The sequence below is a fragment of the Homo sapiens genome, chromosome 10 (genome assembly GCF_000001405.40).
Source record: "Homo sapiens chromosome 10, GRCh38.p14 Primary Assembly".
Classification (NCBI taxonomy): Eukaryota; Metazoa; Chordata; class Mammalia; order Primates; family Hominidae; genus Homo; species Homo sapiens.
Genome location: NC_000010.11, coordinates 12,065,954 through 12,085,432, shown reverse-complemented (window position 1 = coordinate 12,085,432; position 19,479 = coordinate 12,065,954). Strand labels below are relative to the sequence as shown.

General features: G+C 47.5%; 1 protein-coding gene across 1 annotated transcript in view, besides 4 other annotated features; it reads right to left on the bottom strand.

The window, feature by feature from the left end:
- The window catches only part of DHTKD1 (dehydrogenase E1 and transketolase domain containing 1), a 54,268-nt gene extending 37,789 nt beyond the window's left edge, over nt 1-16,479 (bottom strand). The window contains exons 1-3 of the mRNA NM_018706.7: nt 16,246-16,479; nt 3,806-3,961; nt 682-893 (exon numbers count right to left, since the gene is read on the bottom strand). Coding sequence (NP_061176.4) covers nt 682-893; nt 3,806-3,961; nt 16,246-16,399 — 522 coding nt within the window. The 5' untranslated portion in view covers nt 16,400-16,479. The remainder of the gene's footprint in view (nt 1-681; nt 894-3,805; nt 3,962-16,245) is intronic.
- Nucleotides 6,773-6,822: an enhancer, noted in NCBI's record as "active region_3033". NCBI's record gives its function as "activates an Ori minimal core promoter by ATAC-STARR-seq in GM12878 lymphoblastoid cells {active_cell/tissue: GM12878}" and the evidence as "EXISTENCE:reporter gene assay evidence [ECO:0000049][PMID:35858748]".
- Nucleotides 9,992-10,091: an enhancer, noted in NCBI's record as "active region_3032". NCBI's record gives its function as "activates an Ori minimal core promoter by ATAC-STARR-seq in GM12878 lymphoblastoid cells {active_cell/tissue: GM12878}" and the evidence as "EXISTENCE:reporter gene assay evidence [ECO:0000049][PMID:35858748]".
- Nucleotides 16,144-16,303: a silencer, noted in NCBI's record as "silent region_2137". NCBI's record gives its function as "represses an Ori minimal core promoter by ATAC-STARR-seq in GM12878 lymphoblastoid cells {active_cell/tissue: GM12878}" and the evidence as "EXISTENCE:reporter gene assay evidence [ECO:0000049][PMID:35858748]".
- Nucleotides 16,404-16,453: a silencer, noted in NCBI's record as "silent region_2136". NCBI's record gives its function as "represses an Ori minimal core promoter by ATAC-STARR-seq in GM12878 lymphoblastoid cells {active_cell/tissue: GM12878}" and the evidence as "EXISTENCE:reporter gene assay evidence [ECO:0000049][PMID:35858748]".

Here is a 19,479-nt window from a genome sequence, read left to right as displayed (position 1 = left end):
GGAAAAATAAAATAATAAAATGGTGTGTGTTATATGATCTGTTGTGTTGAAGTAACGAGGGATTTAAGCTCAGAGTTAATGGCTCAATTCCCTCTCTTCAGTAGTTATATATCTTTTTTTTTTGAGACAGAGTCTCGCTCTGTCACCCAGGCTGGAGTGCAGTGGCGCGATCTCAGCTCACTGCAGCCTCCACCTCCCAGGTTCCAAGGATTCCCATGCCTCAGCCTCCTGATTAGCTGGGATTATAGGTGTGCACCATCACCCCTGGCTAATTTTTGTATTTTTAGTAGAGACGGGGTTTCTCTATGTCAGCCAGGCTATATATCTTTATAGGCAGTGAGGCTGACCTATGCCCTTGCTATTAAATGCTCCTTTTTTTTTGAGAAGGTGTTTCACTCTTGTTACCCAGGGTGGAGTGCAATGGCGCAATCTCGGCTCACTGCAACCTCTGCCTCCTGGGTTCAAGCAATTCTGCTGCCTCAGCCTCATGAGTAGCTAGGATTACAGGCATGCACCAGCATGCCTGGCTAATTTTCGTATTTTTAGTAGAGATGGGGTTTCTCCATGTTGGTCAGGCTGGTCTTGAACTCCTGACCTCAGGTGATCCGCCCGCCTCGGCCTCCCAAAGTGCTGGGATTACAGGCATGAGCCACCGTGCCCGGCCTAGATGCTCCTTTTTACCTGAGATTCCAGCATTAGTTTCGACAGATGTTTTCGCTCTTCTGTGGTAAACGTCTCCTTTTGCAGTTCCTCAAACCGCTTGGCAAACCAGTCTTTCTCATCCTGGCTCTGAAGTTGGGAGGTTTCAATAGAAATCTGCCCACAGTAGATTTGATTGAGATAGACTAACACTTCCTCAAGTGAGGCCTCTTCCTTCCCCATGTTCAATAATCCTGTGAAATACAATCAAAGGGGTCATCTTAAAAAATAATCATGTTCCTTAACATGATGTTGAGATTATTATATACTGTATTTTCTTCTAAATTAACCCCAATGTTTAAAAACTCACTTTCCCCCTTTAATTGAAGGCATTGTTTTGTTATATGCAGTAATGATTTTTACCAGAGATTATTGTTTCCTATGCAAAATAAATTTTCATATTTAAAAAAAATTTAAAAAAAAAAAAATCATGTGGCAAGTTAATTCTGGAACATACCAAAATAATTACTTCAACGCAGAGTGCTTTGTTCTTAATAACTTGGGTCATTATTGGCCGGGTGCCGTGGCTCACGCCTGTAATCCCAACACTTTGGGAGGCAAGGCGGGTGGATCTCCTGAGGTCAGGAGTTCGAGCCCAGCCTGACCAATATGGTAAAACTCCGTCTCTACTAAAATTACAAAAATTAGCCGGGCATGGTAGCGTGCGCCTGTAGTCCCAGCTACTCGAGAGGCTGAGGCAGGACAATTGCTTGAACCTGGGAGGCAGAGGTTGCAGTGAGCCGAGATCACACCACTGCACTCCAGCCTGGGCGACAGAGCAAGGCTCTGTCCCAAAATAAATAAATAAATAAATAACTTGGGTTATTATTAATGCTTATCTCGATTTTTTTCTAAAGAAAAAACTAAAAATATGGTCAAAGGTCATGAAGCAGTAAAACTAGAAGGGGGAAAGCCCCCACTTCCTTCACAAGGACAGAGCCTACTGCTGCTTTATGCCAAGTTTTGTTTCTACAGTAATTTCTTTTGTATGTGTGTGTGTGATGGAGTTTTTGCTCTTGTTGCCCAGGCTGGAGTGCAGTGGCACGATCTTGGCTCACTGCAACCTCTGCCTCCCAGGTTCAAGTGATTCTCCTGCCTCAGCCTCCCGAGTAGCTGGGACTACACGTGCACACCACCACGTCTGGCTAATTTTTTATTTTTAGTATAGATGGGGTTTCACCATCTTGGCCAGGCTGGTCTCGAACTCCTGTCCTCAGGTGATCCTCTTGCCTCGGCCTCTCCAAGTGCTGAGATTACAGGCATAAGCCACCACACCCGGCCCCAACCTTTACTTTATATTGCTTAGCAAGCTTGTCCAACCCACAGCCCACAGGCTGCATGTGGCCCAGGACAGCTTTGAATGTGGCCCAGGACAGCTTTGAATGTGGCCCAACACAAATGAATAAACTTTCTTAAAACATTGTGAGATTTTCTTTGTGATTTTTTTTTGCAGCTCATTAGCTATGATTAGTGTTAGTGTATTTTATGTATGGCCCAAGACAATTCTAATTCCAATGTGGCCCAGGGAAGCCAAAAGATTGGACACCTCTGGCCTATGGTTTCTTTTTTTTTTTTTGAGACGGAGTCTCGCTCTGTCGCCCAGGCTGGAGTGCAGTGGCACGATCTTGGCTCACTGCAAGCTCCGCTTCCCGGCTTCACGCCTTGCTATTAGATGCTCCTTTTTTTTGCCTCAGCCTCCCGAGTAGCTGGGACTACAGGTGCCTGCTACCACACTCAGCTAATTTTTTTGTTATTTTTTTTAGTAGAGACGGGGTTTCACTGTGTTAGCCAGGATGGTCTCAATCTCCTGACCTCGTGATCTGCCCGCCTCGGCCTCCCAAAATGCTGGGATTACCAGCATGAGCCACCGCACCCGGCCAACTCATGGTTTCTTACAACAAAGTTCATTGTATTTCTTTTTTGTATAAAAAGATTTAAAGTATTGGTCTTTTGAGGAAGTTAAGATGCATCACCACTATATTCCAACTGAGCCATTAATCATGTCGCTTTATGTTTTCCACATTAACGTGTTTGCTTTTATGAGGTGCTGAGAAATCAAATCTTTCTGCAGAGGCTCAAGAAAAGGGCCTTTGGAGGCCCGTCTCAAAAAAAAAAAAGAAAAAAGAGAGAAAACTACCACCTTGCAAAGCCCAGGTAACCCCCCGAACCCTAAGAGACACTAAAATGATCATTGAGGGTTTAAATGCCATTACGTCTTGGGGTAGTTTATTACACGGCATTAGATGACTGAAACATGACTCACTGATGCACACAATCAGAATTTGATATTTGCAAGATTAACTTCAAAAAGTAACATGAGGTAGGACCCTGAAATCATGACTGATGATGCAGGCCCAACTTTTTCTAAGTTCCCAGGCTGGGAAAGAAAACAGAATGAGGCGGGTATCAGCTTTGGAATGGAAGTAGCCCTGGATTTCACCCCACCTCTGCCACTGAGCAGCTATGAGTCATATAAGTCCTCTTTGTTTCTCCATCTACAAAATAAAGAGGACAATAACTACTTTTGGGAGTGATTTTGAGAATAAATTGACATATGCTAAGCATATGGCACTTTAGAGTTCAAGGTTTTTTGTTTGTTTGTTTTTTCAGACAGGGTCTCACTCTGTTGCCCAGGCTGGAGTGCAGTGGCACGATCAAGGCTCACTGCAGCCTTGACCTCCCAGGTTCAAGCAATCCTCCCATCTCTACCTCCAGAGTGCCTGGAACTATAGGCGTGCACCACCATGCCCAGTTATTTTTTTTTTTTTTTTTTGTAGAGACAGTCTCACTATGTTGCCCAGGTTGGTCTCAAACTCCTGGGCTCAAATGACTCTCCCACCTCGGGCTCCCAAAGTGCTGGGATTATGGGTGTCAGCCATTGTGCCCAGCCAATTAAATGTTTTTGAACCTTGAGAAAACAGGCCTCCTCAGAACTTCTAGAATCCCAAGAATGCTCCTCCCGGACCGTACTTCAACATGCCCCTCGGGTCTCCTCACACCTGCGGGAGCCTCAGCTCCAGTGGGGATGCTGCTTCTTCAAGAACAGAGGCAGGAGCCTGGCCTGGTGTGCAGCTCCGAGCTCCCGCCTGCTGTGCAGAAGCCATACCTGCCGTGTGGAAGGGTCCCTGCAGTGTCTGCACCAGGGCTTGGATTTCAGGCACATTCTCCAGCAGGGCTTGTCCGGTGAAGAGGGGGTTGATTTTGGCAGCTTTATGACCATGCTCACAATATACTGTCACCAACCTGGCAAGGCCATGATCAACTAAATCAGGGGAAAATTTAAAAATGCAAACAGTTTAGGAGATGACTACAAATCACAAAAATCAGATTTTCAAAGAAGCTCTTACAGCCCTAGACACCTTACTTTTTATTTATTTATTTATTTTAGAGACAGGGTCTTGCTCTATTGCCCAGGCTGGAGTGCAGTAGAACCATCACTTTTTTTTTTTTTTTTTTTTTTGAGATGGAGTCTTGCTCTGTCGCCCAGGCTGGAGTGCAGTGGCACAATCTCGGCTCACTGCAAGCTCTGCCTCCCAGGTTCACGCCATTCTCCTGCCTCAGCCTCCCAAGTAGCCTGGCTAATTTTTTTGTATTTTTAGTAGAGACGGGGTTTCACCATGTTAGGCAGGATGGCCTCAATCTCCTGACCTCATGATCTGCCCGCCTCGGCCTCCCAAAGTGCTGGGATTACAGGCGTGAGCCACCGCACCCGGCCAAGAACCATCACAGCTCACTGCAACCTGGGCTCAAGTGATCCTCCTGCCTCAGTCTCCCGAGTAGCTGAGACTACAGGCGTGCACCACCACATCTGGCTAATTTTTTTTTTTTTGGTTGAGATGGAGTTTAACCATGTTGCCCAGGTTGGTCTTGAACCCCTGAGCTCAAGCGATTCACTCATCTTGGCCTCTCAAAGAAGGCCAAGAAACACATTTTTACAATTTGTGTTTTTATTTTCAGAACCCAGAGACAATTGTTAGCATATTTTCAAACTTCTTCTTTTTCTTCTTTTCTTTTTTTTTTTTTCAGACATTGTCTTGCTATGTCACCCAGGCTGGAGTGCAGTGGTTCAATCTTGGCTCACTGCAACCTGCGCCTCCCGGGTTCAAGTCATTCTCCTGCCTCAACCTCCCGAGTAACTGGGACTACAGGTTCCCGCCACCACGCCCGGCTAATGTTTTGTATTTTTAGCAGAGATGGGGTTTCACTGTGTTAGCCAGGATGGTCTTGATCTCCTGACCTCGTGATCTGCCTGCCATGCCTCCTGAAGTGCTGGGATTACAGGCGTGAACCAATGTACCTGGCCCACATATTTTAAAACTTATAAGGTCCATTTTATGAACAAGTGTTGCTGTGGAATGATTTCAGAGCCACCCATGCACTTGGGTTTGTATTCTATGCACTGCCAAAGCACAACTTTTTTTTTTTTTTTTTTTTGAGACGGAGTCTTGCTCTGTTGCCCAGCCTGGAGTGCAGTGGCGTGATCCTGGCTCACTGCAAGCTCCACCTCCCGGGTTCATGCCATTCTCCTTCTTCAGCCTCCTGAGTAGCTGGGACTACAGGCGCCTACAGGCGCCCACAGGCACCCGCCACCACGCCCAGCTAATTTTTTCTATTTTTAGTAGACACAGGGTTTCACCATGTTAGCCAGGATGGTCTCGATCTCCTGATGCCATGATCCACCCACCTCGGCCTCCCAAAGTGCCGGGATTACAGGCGTGAGCCACCTCACCCAGCCAAAGCACACCTCTTTACTTGTAGCAGGTTTAGTGAGGAAAGAACAGAGAGGTATTGAACACACACAGGATGTGTTTGCACTCATACACCAGTTAGGTGGATCCATAATAGCTCAAATAAATGAATCAAACCATCCCAGGAAACGAACTGATTTCAGCCTGGGGGTTAGTCCTATAAATTGCTAAGGGTTCTATTTTGAACCTTATTCAAGTTCTCCATCAGTGTCATATGAAGTAGGAAACCTTTATATTTGTGGCTAAAATCCAGACAGACTATGTCTAAAGCATGTCCCTGTGGGCCACTCTCACCTTTTATTTTTTTATTTTTTTTCTTGAGATGGAGTCTCACTCTATCGCCAGGCTGGAGTGCAGTGGTGCAATCTCGGCTCACTGCAATCTCTGCCTCCCGGGTTCAAGTGATTCCCCTGCCTCAGCCTCCTGAGTAGCTGGGACTACAGGTGCATGCCACCATACCCAGCTTATTTTTTGTATTTTAGTAGAGATGGGGTTTCACTATGTTGGCCAGGATGGTCTCGATCTCCTGACCTTGTGATCCACCTGCCTCGGCCTCCCAAAGTGCTGGGATTACAGGCATGAGCCACCGCACCCAGCTCCTACTCTCTCCTTTTAAGAACATATTCTTCCCTGGGCTCTACAGCATTGCAGGAACCCGGTTTTCTTTCTAACTCCAGAGCTACTCAACCTCAGTCACTTTTGAGGGACTTCTCTTTGCCCAACTCTAAATATTGGTAGCCAGGCATGGTGGTGCACACCTATAATCCCAACTACCCAAGAGGCTGAGGGAGGAGCTTGAACCCAGGAGTTCGAGGCTGCACTGAGCTGGAAATCTCACCACTGCACTCTAGCCTGGGTGAGAGAGCAAGATCCCATATCTAAAAAATAAAATACATAAAATATTGGTACTCCCCAGCTCTGCCCAAGGCCACCTTCTCAGTCTACTTTCTCTCTGAGCGATCTCCCCCCAACTCATGATTAGTGGTATAAGAACAATAGCAAACATACAGGGCAATCTCCATTCCCATTGCAAACCAGCAGCCATATTGAAAACGTCCCCTTAGAGGCCGAGGCCAGTGGGTCACTTGAGGTCAGGAGTTCAAGACCAGTCTGGCCAACATGGTGAAATCCCATCTCTACTAAAAATACAAAAATTAGTCGGGTGTGGTCGCACGTGCCTGTGGAGGCTGAGGCAGGAGAATCGCTGGAACCTGGGAAGTAGACATTGCAGTGAGCCGAGATGGTGCCACTGCACTCCCGCCTGTGTGACACAGCAAGACTTTGTCTCAAAAAAAGAAAAAAGAAAACATCCCCTTAGAGAAGAACCCATGTCAATGCCTAGAGATCACTGCTTCTATTTCTTTTTCTTTTTTTTGAGACGGAGTCTCACTCTGTCACCCAGGCTGGAGTGCAGTGACACAATCTCAGCTCACTGCAGCCTCCGCCTTTTGGGTGCAAGCGATTGTCCTGCCTCAGTCTCCAAGTAGCTGGGGTTGCAGGTGCGTGCCGCCATGCCCGGCTAATTTTTGTGGGGTTTTTGTTGGTTTTGTTTTTTTTTTCTGAGGTGGAGTCTTGCTCTGTTGCCCAGGCTGGAGTGCAGCGGCACGATCATGGCTCATTGCAACCTCTGTTTCCCAGGTTCAGGCAATTCTCCCATCTCAGTCTCCGGAGTAGCTGGGATTACAGGCACGTGCCACCACACCTGGCTAATTTTTGTATTTTTAGTAGAGAAGAGGTTTCACCATGTTGGCCAGGCTGGTCTCCAACTCCTGACCTCAGGTGATCCACCCGCCTCGGCCTCCCAAAGTGCTGAGATTACAGGCATGAGCCACTGTGACTGGCCCACTGCTTCTATTTCTAAGTACTCACTAGCCAGGCTGCTAATGATACACTAGAATACTGACACAGAAGTTGGCACAAAATAACCCTCCTTGCCACAAAGAACATGAGGCATGTAGCAGTTTGGCACCAGCAGAAAGAGGAAGTCCTCTCTCATGTCAGGCACGTCCTCCATTCACCCTGGCAACACATGCTCCCTCAGACTACCATTTCTTCGGGCAGGTTTCTTCTTCCACCAACCCTATCTCCAACCCCTTCCCTCTCTGTCTCCACCTCCTTCCACCGAGACCTCTGGCACTCTGTTTCATGAAAAACAAACCTCTCTGAACGTTCCTCACACTCCTGGGTTTAATCAGAACTTGGCTGTCCCTAGAGAGCATGAGTACGACGTGAAGGTACTCAGTGGCCCTCACCCGCACCCTCCAATCTTGAAGACAAACGTAGGCCCTCCTCATTCTTCATTGACATCTCCCTATCATTAGTTCTCTCTTTATAAACCCATCCTCTGAGGAACAAGCAATGGCATTAACTCATCTCAAATTGCCGACAGCCATTAAAAAATAATATTGTAGAAGAATGATTGATGAAAAAGCATCCAGACTTAATGAATGGCCGGGCACAGTGGCTCATGCCTGTAATCCCAGCACTTTGGGAGGCCAAGGCGGGCCAAGGTGACCTCATCACCTGAGGTCAGGAGTTTGTGATCAGCCTGGCCCACATGGTGAAACCCTGTCTCTACTAAAAACAAGAAATTAGCCAGGCCTGGTGGCAGACACCTGTAATCCCAGCTACTCAGGAAGATGAAGTAGGAGAATTGCTTGAACCCAGGAGGCAGAGGTTGCAGTGATCCGAGGTTGTGCCATTGCACTCCAGCCTGGGTGACAAGCATGAAACTCCATCTCAAAAAAAAAAAACAAAAAACACTTAATGAATGACCACAACATATAAAGCATGCACCTACATTGTTACACTGTGTATGTACATATGAGTAGTTTATAATATATATTTCATCTTATAGTATATGTATTAGTATATGTAATTATATATACTTATATATATGCACACATATATTTTTCATAAACAAAAGAAACTGATCAAAAATTTAAGTGATAATCCTATGTAGAAATTGCCGACTTGTTCTTTTTTCTTCCTTTTTTTTTTTTTTTTTTTTATCAGAAACAGGGTCTGGCTGGCTGGGCTTGGTGGCTCACGTCTGTAATCCTAGCACTTTGGGAGGCGGAGGCAGGAGGATCACAAGGTCAGGAGATCGAGACTATCTTGGCTAACACGGTGAAACCGTCTCTACTAAAAATACAAAAAATTAGCCGGGCGTGGTGGCGGGCACCTGTAGTCCCAGCTACTCGGGAGGCTGAGGTAGGAGAATGGCGTAAACCCGGGAGGCGGAGCTTGCAGTGAGCTGAGATCGCGTCACCGCGCTCCAGCCTGGGCGACACAGCAAAACTCCGTCCCGAGAAAAAAAGAAACAGGGTCTGGCTATATTACCCAGGCTGGACTCATACTCCTGGGCTCGAGAGATCCTCCTGCCTCAGCCTCCCAAGTAGCTGGGATTACAGGTGCACGTCATCACACCCAGGCAGATTTGCTATTTTTTGCTTACTGTATTCTCACAGTTTTCCACAGTGAACATGTACAATAAAGCTCTTTTTTTTTGAGACAGAGTCTCGCTCTGTTGCCAAGGCTGGAGTGCAGTGGCACCATCTCGGCTCACTGCAACCTCTGCCTCCTGGGTTCAAGCGATTCTCCTGCCTCAGCCTCCCAAGTAGCTGGGACTACAGGCCTGTGCCACCACATCCAGCTAATTTTTTGTATTTTAGTAGAGACGGGGTTTCACCGTGTTAGCCAGGATAGTCTGTATCTCCTGACCTCGTGATCCGCCCACCGCGGCCTCCCAAAGTGCTGGGATTACAGGCGTGAGCCACCGCACTCGGCAATAAAGCTCTTTCGAATGCAGCCATTTAGCGGACTTGCTGCCTGATGCACTCACTCTAAAAGCTTTGGTTTGTGGCTTCTCTCTAGCATATGCAGCACTGCTCTCATCAGTTGACTTTGTGCTTATAAGAATCAGTTCTATTTGTCCCTAAGACTGTTGCTGTGGGAAAAAGTAAAATTAGGGGAAGAAATCAGAAAAATCTAGAGATTTTGCATTCAGATTGCTTTATTTTCTTTTTCCTTTTTTTTTTTTGAGACAGAGTCTCGCTCTGTCAAAATTGTTTTAAAAGAAAAAACAAAAGAAGTAAAAAAAAGAAGTAAAATAAAAATAAATGGAATTAACTGATCAAGTTCCAATTTCAAATGCTCTAGATAAAACGTACTTCAACTGTATTACCTTTATAATAAAGAATGAAATTAAAAGATTTAATTCTTTTTCCCTGGAAGGATAGAAAAATAAATAAAAATAAAATTTAAAAGAATGAGAGCACAGCAATAGAATTATTCATAAAATACTTCCTATTACTGGATGGCCATTGTGGCTCACACCTGTAATCACTTTGGGAGGCTGGGGCAGGAGGACCTCTTGAGGTCAAGGGTTTGAGACCAGCCTGGGCAACAGAGTGAGACCCTGTCTCTACAAAAAATACAAAAATTGGATGGGCGCAGTGGCTCATGCCTGTAATCCCAGCACTTTGGTAGACCGAGGCGGACGGATCACAAGGTCAGGAGATCGAGACCATCCTGGCTAACACGCTGAAACCCCATCTCTACTAAAAATACAAAAAAAATCATAAGCAAGACTCCATCTCAGAAAAACAAAACCAAAACCAAAAAAAACCCCACAGAAATTAGCCGGGCATGGCGAGAAGCACCTGCAACCCCAGCTACTTGGAGGCTGAGGCAGGATAATCACTTGCACCCAGAAGGCGGAGGCTGCAGTGAGCTGAGATTGTGTCACTGCACTCCAGCCTGGGTGACAGAGCGAGACTCCGTCTCAAAAAAAAGAAAAAGAAACAGAAGCAGTGATCTCTATGCATTGACATAGGTTCTTCTCTAAGGGGATGTTTTCTTTTTTCTTTTTTTGAGACAAAGTCTTGCTGTGTCACACAGGCCGGAGTACAGTGGCACCATCTCGGCTCACTGCAATGTCTACTTCCCAGGTTCCAGCGATTCTCCTGCCTCAGCCTCCACAGGCACATGCGACCACACCCGGCTAATTTTTGTATTTTTAGTAGAGATGGGATTTCACCATGTTGGCCAGACTGGTCTTGAACTCCTCACCTCAAGTAACCCACTGGCTTCGGCCTCTAAGGGGACGTTTTCAATATGGCCGCTGGTTTGCAATGGGAATGGGGATTGCCCTGTATGTTTGCTATTGTTCTTATACCACCTCTGCCTCCCAAAGTGCTGGGATGACAGGCATGAGCCACCAGGCCTGACCTGTTTATTTGTTTTTTTGAGACATAGTCACTCCGTGGCCCAGGCTGGAGTGCAGTGGAGATTTTGGCCACTGCATTCCAGCCTGGGGCAACATAGCAAGACCCGCGGTAGCTCACGCCTCTAATCCCAGCACTTTGGGAGGCCGAGGAGGGTGGATCATGAGGTCAAGAGATCGAAACCATCCTGGCTAACACGGTGAAACCCCATCTCTACTAAAAAAAAAACAAAAAATTAGCCGGGCATGGTGGCGGGCACCTGTAGTCTTGGCTACATGGGAGGCTGAAGCAGGAGAATGGCGTGAACCCAGGAGGCAGAGTTTGCAGTGAGCAGAGATCGTGCCACTGCACTCCAGCCTGGGCGACAGAGCAAGACTCCGTCTCAAAAACAAAACAAAAAAATACAAAAATTAGCTGGATGTGGTGGCACGTGCCTGTGATCTCAGCTACTGAGGAGACTGAGGTGGCAGGATCACTTGAGCCCAGGAGTTTGAGGCTATGGTAAGCTGTAATTGTGCCACTGCACTCAGTCTGGGCGACACAGAGTGTCTCAAAGAAAACAAAACAAAACAAAACAAAACAAAAAGCAAAACTTTCTATTACTGCAGAAATGAAAGAATTACTGTAAGAGAAAAATGAATACCTTTACGTTAGGCGTAATACCGCCCAAACAGTTTACTGTTCATAATATCTGCAAAAGGTCACAGGAATTAGATTTGATGTTTAAGTCCGTAACGAAGCCAGAGAGAATAGAGAAAACAACAGCAGATACACGCCTGCACTCCTCTTAAAAATAAAGGAGAATATCAGAGGCATGCTTCTGGCTCAGAAGACTAACACATGGTAGACGCTCAAGAAATATTTGTTATTATTTGAATGAAGTCCTGAGATCAAGAGTCATGCTTCATGATAAAAGCTTTTCAGAGCCCTCAAACTTAGAGTACAAGAGCTGAAGCAGCTTCTTCTCCCTCACTTTGCACCCTCCCATGCCAAGCTGTGGGGCCTGGTGGGGATGCACGCATTACTCCAGTCTGCCTTGCTGCTGGAGAGGCTGAGTCAAGCTGGGCCAGACTGAGCTTTTCCAGATTTTGAAACTCGGAATTGAGAGATAGCTTATGAGAAAAAAGCTAGCCAGAGACTGCAGCCTTCAGAAAAGCCTGGTTGAGGGCAGATGGCTTGAGCTCCGGAGTTCAAGACTAGCCTGGCCAACATGTGAAACCCTGTTTCTACTAAAAATACAAAAATTAGCCAGGCATGGTGGTGAGCACCTGTAGTCCCAGCTACTCAAGAGGCTGAGGCAGGAGAATCTCTTAAACCCGGGAGGTAGAGGTTGCAGTGAGCTGAGATCATGCCACTGCACTCCTGCCTGGGTGACAGAGCAAGACCCTGTCCAAAAAAAAAAGTAAAAGAGCTAATATTTTCATGGACTGGGTGCAGTGGCTCATGCCTATAATCCCAGAACTTTGGGAGGCAGAGGTTGTTGGGTCACTTGAGGTCAGGAGTTCGATACCACCCTGGCCAATATGGTGAAACCACGTCTCTACTAAAAATATAAAAATTAGCTGGGCGGGGTGGCATATGCCTGTAATCTCAGCTAATCAGGAGACTGAGGCAGGAGAATCACTTGAACCCAGGAGGAATAGGTTGCAGTGAGCCAAAATCACCCCACTGCACTCCAGCCTGGGCCACGGAGTGACTGTGTCTCAAAAAAACAAATAAACAGGTCAGGCACGGTGGCTCATGCCTGTAATCCCAGCACTTTGGGAGGCCGAGGTGGGTGGATCACCTGAGGTCGGGAGTTCGAGACCAGCCTGACCAACACAGAGAAACCCTGTCTCTACTAAAAATACAAAATTAGCCAGGTGTGGTGGTACATGCCTGTAGTCCTAGCTACTCAGGAGGCTGAGGCAGGAGAATCACTTGAACCCAGGAGGCAGAGGTTGTGGTGAGCTGAGATCGTGCCATTGCACTCCAGCCTCGGCAACAAGAGCGAAACTCCATCTCAAAAAAAAAAAAAAGGAAGAACACCCATGAATCACTACTCCTAAACCCACCTCCATTTTAAATTGGCATTGTTGATAAATAAATTCAAGTTTCCTTGGAAATCAAGGTTTACAGAGGTGAAAGTACAAGCTGTTACAAATACCTAGTTACAAAGAACACTCATCATGGGTCAAATTGTAACTAGTGAAACCACTGCCATCCAAAAGGTTACTAGAGGCAAATTCAATATCTATTTAATTATTTATTTGTATTTATTTATTTATTTATTTATTTATTTATTTATTTATTTATTGAGACAGAGTCTTGCTCTATCACCCAGGCTGGAGTGCAGTGGCTTGATCTCAGCTCATTGCAACCTCAGCCTCCCAGGTTCAAGTGATTCTCCTGACTCAGCCTCCCGAGTAACCGGTATTATAGGCACACACCACCAGGTCAATTTTTGTATTTTTAGTAGAGATGGGGTTTCACCATGTCAGCCAGGCTGGCCTGGAACTTCTGGCCTCAAGTGATCTTCCCAGCTCGGCCTCCCAAAGTGCTGGGATTACAGGCATGAGCCACCACACCCAGGCTCAATATCTCTTTAAAGCCTTAATACAAGGGAAGTCTTAGTGAATGATGTGGTCATCCTATGTAGACATTTATTTTAGCCAAGATAAACATATGAAGAAAGAAGGCCAGTGAACCCGGCGCACGCTGAAGTGAGCTGTGACTGCACCACTGCACTCCAGACTAGGTGACATAGAAAGATCTCATCTCAAAAAATAAAAATAAAACACGGTAATAGTTTAATATGTTGCCTAACATATAAAGATACTTGATAATTAATGTTACGTTTGCACATACAAAATGCAAATGTACTATATGTCACAAATAAATTGCGTATATAGAACCCTCTTTTCATTCCTTAGGAAGTATAAATTATTTGGGGCTGGACACGGTGGCTCGCGCCTATAATCCCAACACTTTAGGGGGCCGAGGCAAGCATTTCACCTGAGGACAGGAGTTCGAGACCAGCCTGGGCAACATGGCAAGACCCTGTCTCAAGTGATCTGTCTGTCTCGGCCTCCCAAAGTGCGGGGATTACAGGCGTGAGTCACTGTGCCTGGCCCCACGTCTGCACCACACCCAGCTAATTTTTGTATTTTTGCTAGAGACGAGGTTTCACCATGTTGGCCAGGCTAGTTTTGAACTCCTGACCTGGTGATCCGCCCACCTCGGCCTCCCAAAGTGCAGGGATTACAGGCATGAGCCACCGCGCCCGGCCTAATAAATAAAATTTAAAAAATAAAAACTAAAAAGATTTGATGTGAAATATGAGGTGAAAAAGATAAAGGTGGATTGCTCATCTCAGATTACTATACCTCTGTGGCAGAGACTGCTACGATTCCTAACTTCCATTCTGAACCCTCTCTTTGATAGTAATAGAGAGCCCAGTATATGGCCACCCAGAACAAAGAGCCACCTCCCAGCCTTCCCCATAACCTGGTGGCCATGTGACTAAGTTTTGGACAATGGGAACGTAGCAGCAATGTATGCAACTTCTGGGTCATGACCGTAAGGGGAAGGAAAGAAGATATCCCTTCTCTTTGTATATCACAGCACCTGAACTCTTCCAATCTAATACAGAATTTGGTACCAGAGGTGGGTTGCTGCCCTAACAGAGCCTAAAAATATATATGGCATTGGATTAGCAGCCAGGCAATGGGTACCAAGGACACAGGTATTTCCACCTAGAAAGCTGATGGGCAGTGTTATGCTACAGGACAAAACATTTGGTTTTTGTCCTGTAGGACAGGACTGAGGCAGACTACATGCCCTTGAAGCCTGTAGCTCAGGAGCGTATGTTCATTGTATCTTGTCACTTTCAGGAAGGCCCAAGAAGAAAGATGAGGTCAAGTTGGAGCTCCCTAATGAGCAAGTAGACAGGAAGGGGAATTCGGCTCTGCAAAAAGGAGGTTCCCTCTTGGCCAGGCACGGTGGCTCATGCCTGTAATCCCAGCACTTTAGGAGGCCAAGGCCAGTGGATCACTTCAGGTCGGGAGTTCAAGACCAGCCTGGCCAACATGGTGAAACCCCATCTCTACTAAAAATACAAAAATTAGCTGGGCATGGTGGCAGGTGCCTGTAATCCCAGCTACTCGGAACACTGGGGCAGGACAATCGCTTGAACCCAGAAGACAGAGGTTGCAGTGAGCCAAGATCGTGCCACTGCACTCCAGCCTGGGCGACAAAGCCAGACTCCATTTTAGGATTAAAAAAAGAGAGAGAGACAGAGATATGAGGTTTATTTTAAATGCCCTCCGAAGTGAAGAGCAAAATATTGAAGTTCTAGTGTGTGATTGATGGAACATTCCAAGGTCAGGTGCCCAGATGCCGAAGGGGATCTTCAACATTAATCTAATGATCAGATCAAAGATGCCAAATGATTTTCCTCTAATAAGCAATCTGTACTTATCTTCTACTCCGTGAGGATAAATAATGATACAATAATTTTGGAGCGTAAACCAAATACTCAAAATTAGTCTCGCAAATGAGCATGCAACAGAAGTTCCAAAAGCTGATATTCATGACTGTTAATTCATTAAAACCACCAGCACATATCAAGGTGTCAATAGAGTGGCTAAAAGGAAAAGAAAGAAACCCCACCAGCACATAGTTCCAAATTCAGCAGAGTTAAGAGTTAAACTCTGAAATTAAAGTAACAGACTAGCTACAAGGAGACAAATACATAATAAATATCATGCTGTCTTCCAAGACTGGAACTAACTGCCCACTTCTCCCAAGCAATGCAGTCTTGGACCCCCCCACCTGCTCACATAAAAGAAGCCTCAGAGATGGTCCTGGAAATGTATCCTTGGGAGACCTTAAAACTTTACTTCTCCCACAGCTCCGCCTCATTAAAGAGCTGGTTTTCTAGGCTGGGTGCAGTGGCTCAGCCTGTAATCCCAACACATTGGGAGGCCGAGGCTGCAGGATCAGCTTGAGCTCAAGAGTTCAAGACCAGCCTGGGCAACATGGTGGGACCCCATCTCTACTAAAAATGAAAAAAAAAAAAAAAAAAAAAAAAAAGCTGGGCGTGGTCATCCCTCTGTGTCCCCAGCTACTCGGGACGCTGAGGTGGAAGGATAGCCTGAGCCCAGGAGTTCGAGGCTGCAGGGAGCTGTGGTCGCAGCACTGCACTCCAGCCTGGGCCACAGAGCGAGACTCCGTCTCAAAAAAAAAAAAAAAAAAAAAAGGAAACAAAAAGAGAAAGAAAAAAAGAGTTTCTCACACGTTTCCAACAAAGGAAAGAAAAGCCCTTCCGAAACCAGGTCCGGACCAGCAAGATGGGAAGACCACCCAAGCGTGGACCTCAAAGATCCTCAGTTACAGAGGATGGACGGGGGATGACCCCAACACTGAGCACCCACACCTACCCTCTGCTCCCCTCACCTCCCCCTCCTCCCCACCGGCCGCGCGTTCAGGCCGGCAGCCGGTTCCCCGACCCCGACACCCCACCGCAAATCGGCCAGGGGAGGCTTCTGCGTCCCAGCCCCCGCTCCCACCGCCCGGGCCCCATCCCCGACCTGGGGGGCGCTCCAGGGCGCCCTGGGGCTCGCGGCTCTCGGGCTTCCTCGGCCGGTAGCCGTAAACGCCCCGCTCGGTCTGGTAGCCACGCCAGAAGAGAGGGAGAGCCCGGCCGAGGCCCCGTCGTGCTGCTGCCGCAGTAGCAGAGGCCATGTTCACCAGATGTCCCGGCCAGCATGCTAAGGCGGGAGCCCGAGGGGATCCCACCGGCCCTGGTAAATCCGGGACTCGTCAGAGGCGGCCGGAGCCCCGCCCCCAGACAACGCCCCCGCGCCTGATTGGCCGACGGGCCGGACCCTGGAAGCCAATCCGTGGCAGCGGCACTCACAGCGAAGCGACGCCCAGGATTGGGGCGGGCTTCCAGGGCGGTTCCGGCGGCTGAGACCGCCCTGCTCCACCGCAGGGCGGGGCAAGTAAGTGTTCCGCGGGGCGGCACCTGCTCCCAGTACGAAACAGGATGTAGCTGCAGCGCCTGTAGTCTCCCGCCAGGAGTGTTTACCCATCACGCCTCTGCCCAACCGCATAGACACAGTCTAGGGTGTCTGTTACAGAAAGGACAAATTAGCCACAGGGTGGATAGGAAATGGCTAGGACTGAGACCAAGGGACGCAAAAAGCAAAGGTTACTTAGCGCAGCTACAAAATCAATACCCCTAATTTTTTTGTTTTCTTAAGAAACATTAACAGAGGCCGGGCGCGGTGGCTCACGCCTGTAATCCTAACACTTTGGGGGGCCACAGCGGGAGGATCATCTGAGGTCAGGAGTTTGAGACCAACCTGTCCAACATGGCGAAAACCCATCTCTACTAAAAATACAAAAATTAGGTCGGGCGCGGTGGTTCACGCCTGTAATCCCAGCACTTTGGGAGGCCGAGGCGGGCGGATCACCTGAGGTCGGGGGTTCGAGACCAGTCTTACCAACGTGGAGAAACCTCGTCTCTACTAAAAATACAAAATTAGCCAGGCGTAGTGGTGGGTGCCTGTGGTCCCAGCTACTCGGGAGGCTGAGACAGGAAAATCGCTGGAACCCGGGAGGTGGAGGTTGCGGTGAGTTGAGATGGCGCCATTGCACTCCAGCCTGGGCAACAAGAGCGAAACTCCGTCTCAAAAAAAACAGAACAAAAACAAACAAACAAACGAACAAAAAAAAAAAAACAAAACAGGCTGCAGTGGCTCATGCCTGTAATCCCAACACTCTGGGAGGCCCTCTGGGAGGCCAAGGAGGGCGGATCACGAAGTCAGGAGTTCGAGACCATCATGGCTACTATGGTGAAACCCCGTCTCTACTAAAAATACAAAAATTAGCCGAGTGTGGTGGCGGGTGCCTGTAGTCCCAGCTACTCGGGAGGCTGAGGCAGAAGAATCGCTTAAACCCTGGAGGCAGAGGTTGCAGTGAGCCAAGATCGTGCCCACTGCACTCCAGCCTGGGCGACAGAGCGAGACTCTGTCTCACAAACAAACAAAAAACATTAAGAGAGAAAGAAGGAAATAGGGTAAAGGGAGCAGGGAAGAAAGGGATAAGAGTCAAAAGAAACTGGACATGAACGATTAGTTGGTCTGTCTCTGAGTGAGTTTCCCAAATGATTTTTTTTCTGTGGCTTACTTTTAACTTTGCCAGTATGGTAGGAGAGAGAGTCTGCATCCTTACCTGGTTAGTCATCCTTCGTTCCAGTAAGCTGTGCAGCTATACCCCAAACTCCTAGGAATATTATACATACAAGCCCAAGACATCCTCCTTCTTACTCATTCAACCAGTACACTCATAAAGCACTCTGCTGGGTTACAAAGATTAATAAGGCACAGTTTCTGCCCTTAGTTCCCAGTCTAGCTGTAGATAGAACTCAGCACACAGGATGATAGATTATATAATGTAGGCACATGTAAGTGCCCCCTGCAAGCACAGGAGCGTCATCCAGCACAGCTACTGTAGCTGGGACCCCTTAGGTCCACACTTTGGTGGCCTCCCCATCTTGCTAGTTTGGACCTGGTTTTGCAAGGGCTTGTCTTTTTTTTCCTTTTTTTTTTTTTTTTTTTTTTTTGAGACGGAGTCTCGCTCTGTCGCCCAGGCTGGAATGCAGTAGGGCAATCTCGGCTCACTGCAACCTCCATCTCCCGGGTTCAAGCAATTCCCCTGCCTCAGCCTCCCGAGTAGCTGGGATTTCAGGCGCCTGCCACCACGCCCAGCTAATTTTTGTTGCTGTTGTTTTTGTTTGTTTGTTTGTTTGTTTGAGACAGAGTTTCTCTCTTGTTGCCCAGGCTGGAGAGCAATGGCGAGATCTCCACTCACTGCAACCTCCGCCTCCCAGGTTCAAGTGATTCTCCTGCCTTAGCCTCCCAAGTAGCTGTGATTACAGGCATGCGCCACCACGCCCAGCTAATCTTTTTTTTTTTTTCCTTTTGAGACAGAGTCTCGCTCTATCGCCCAGGCTGGAGTGCAATGGCGCGATCTCGGCTCACTGCAAGCTCCGCCTTCCGGGTTCCAGCCATTCTCCTGCCTCAGCCTCCCGAGTAGCTGGGACTACAGGCGCCCACCACCACACCCAGTTAATTTTTTGTATTTTTAGTAGAGATGAGGTTTCACCATGTTAGCCAGGATGGTCTCGATCTCCTGACCTCGTGATCCGCCCACCTCGGCCTCCCAAAGTGCTGGGATTACAGACGTGAGCCACTGCACCCGGCCATCCATGCCCAGCAAATTTTTGTATTTTTAGTAGAGACAGGGTTTCTCCATGTTGGTCAGGACGGTCTCAAACTCCTGACCTCGGGTGATCCACCCACCTCGGCCTCCCAAAGTACTGGGATTACAGGCGTGAGCCATCGTGCCCAGCCCTGGCTAATTTTTTTGTATTTTTAGTAGATAAGGGTTTTCACCATGGTGGCCAGGCTGGTCTTGAGCTTCTGACCTCAAGTGATCAGCCTGCCTCAGGCTTCCAAAGTGCTAGGATTACAGGCGTGAGCCACCGCGCCTGGCCGGACTTGTCTTTTTTATTCCTTGGTTGTGAACCTGTGGGAACCTAGCTCTTTGGACGGGTGGGGCTGTGGGAAAAGAAAATTTCTGAGATCTGAGTGTGTTAGGGGAACCTGCAAGTGGAAGGGAAATTAGAACAGAATCTTGAGGCATGAGGAGTTAGGCAAATGCACAAAGACAAGAGCACACCAAGGAGATGGCAGTGAAGAATAGATATGGGATAACTGGATAATCTAAAGAGCTTTGAGTAGAAAGGAGGGGTTAAT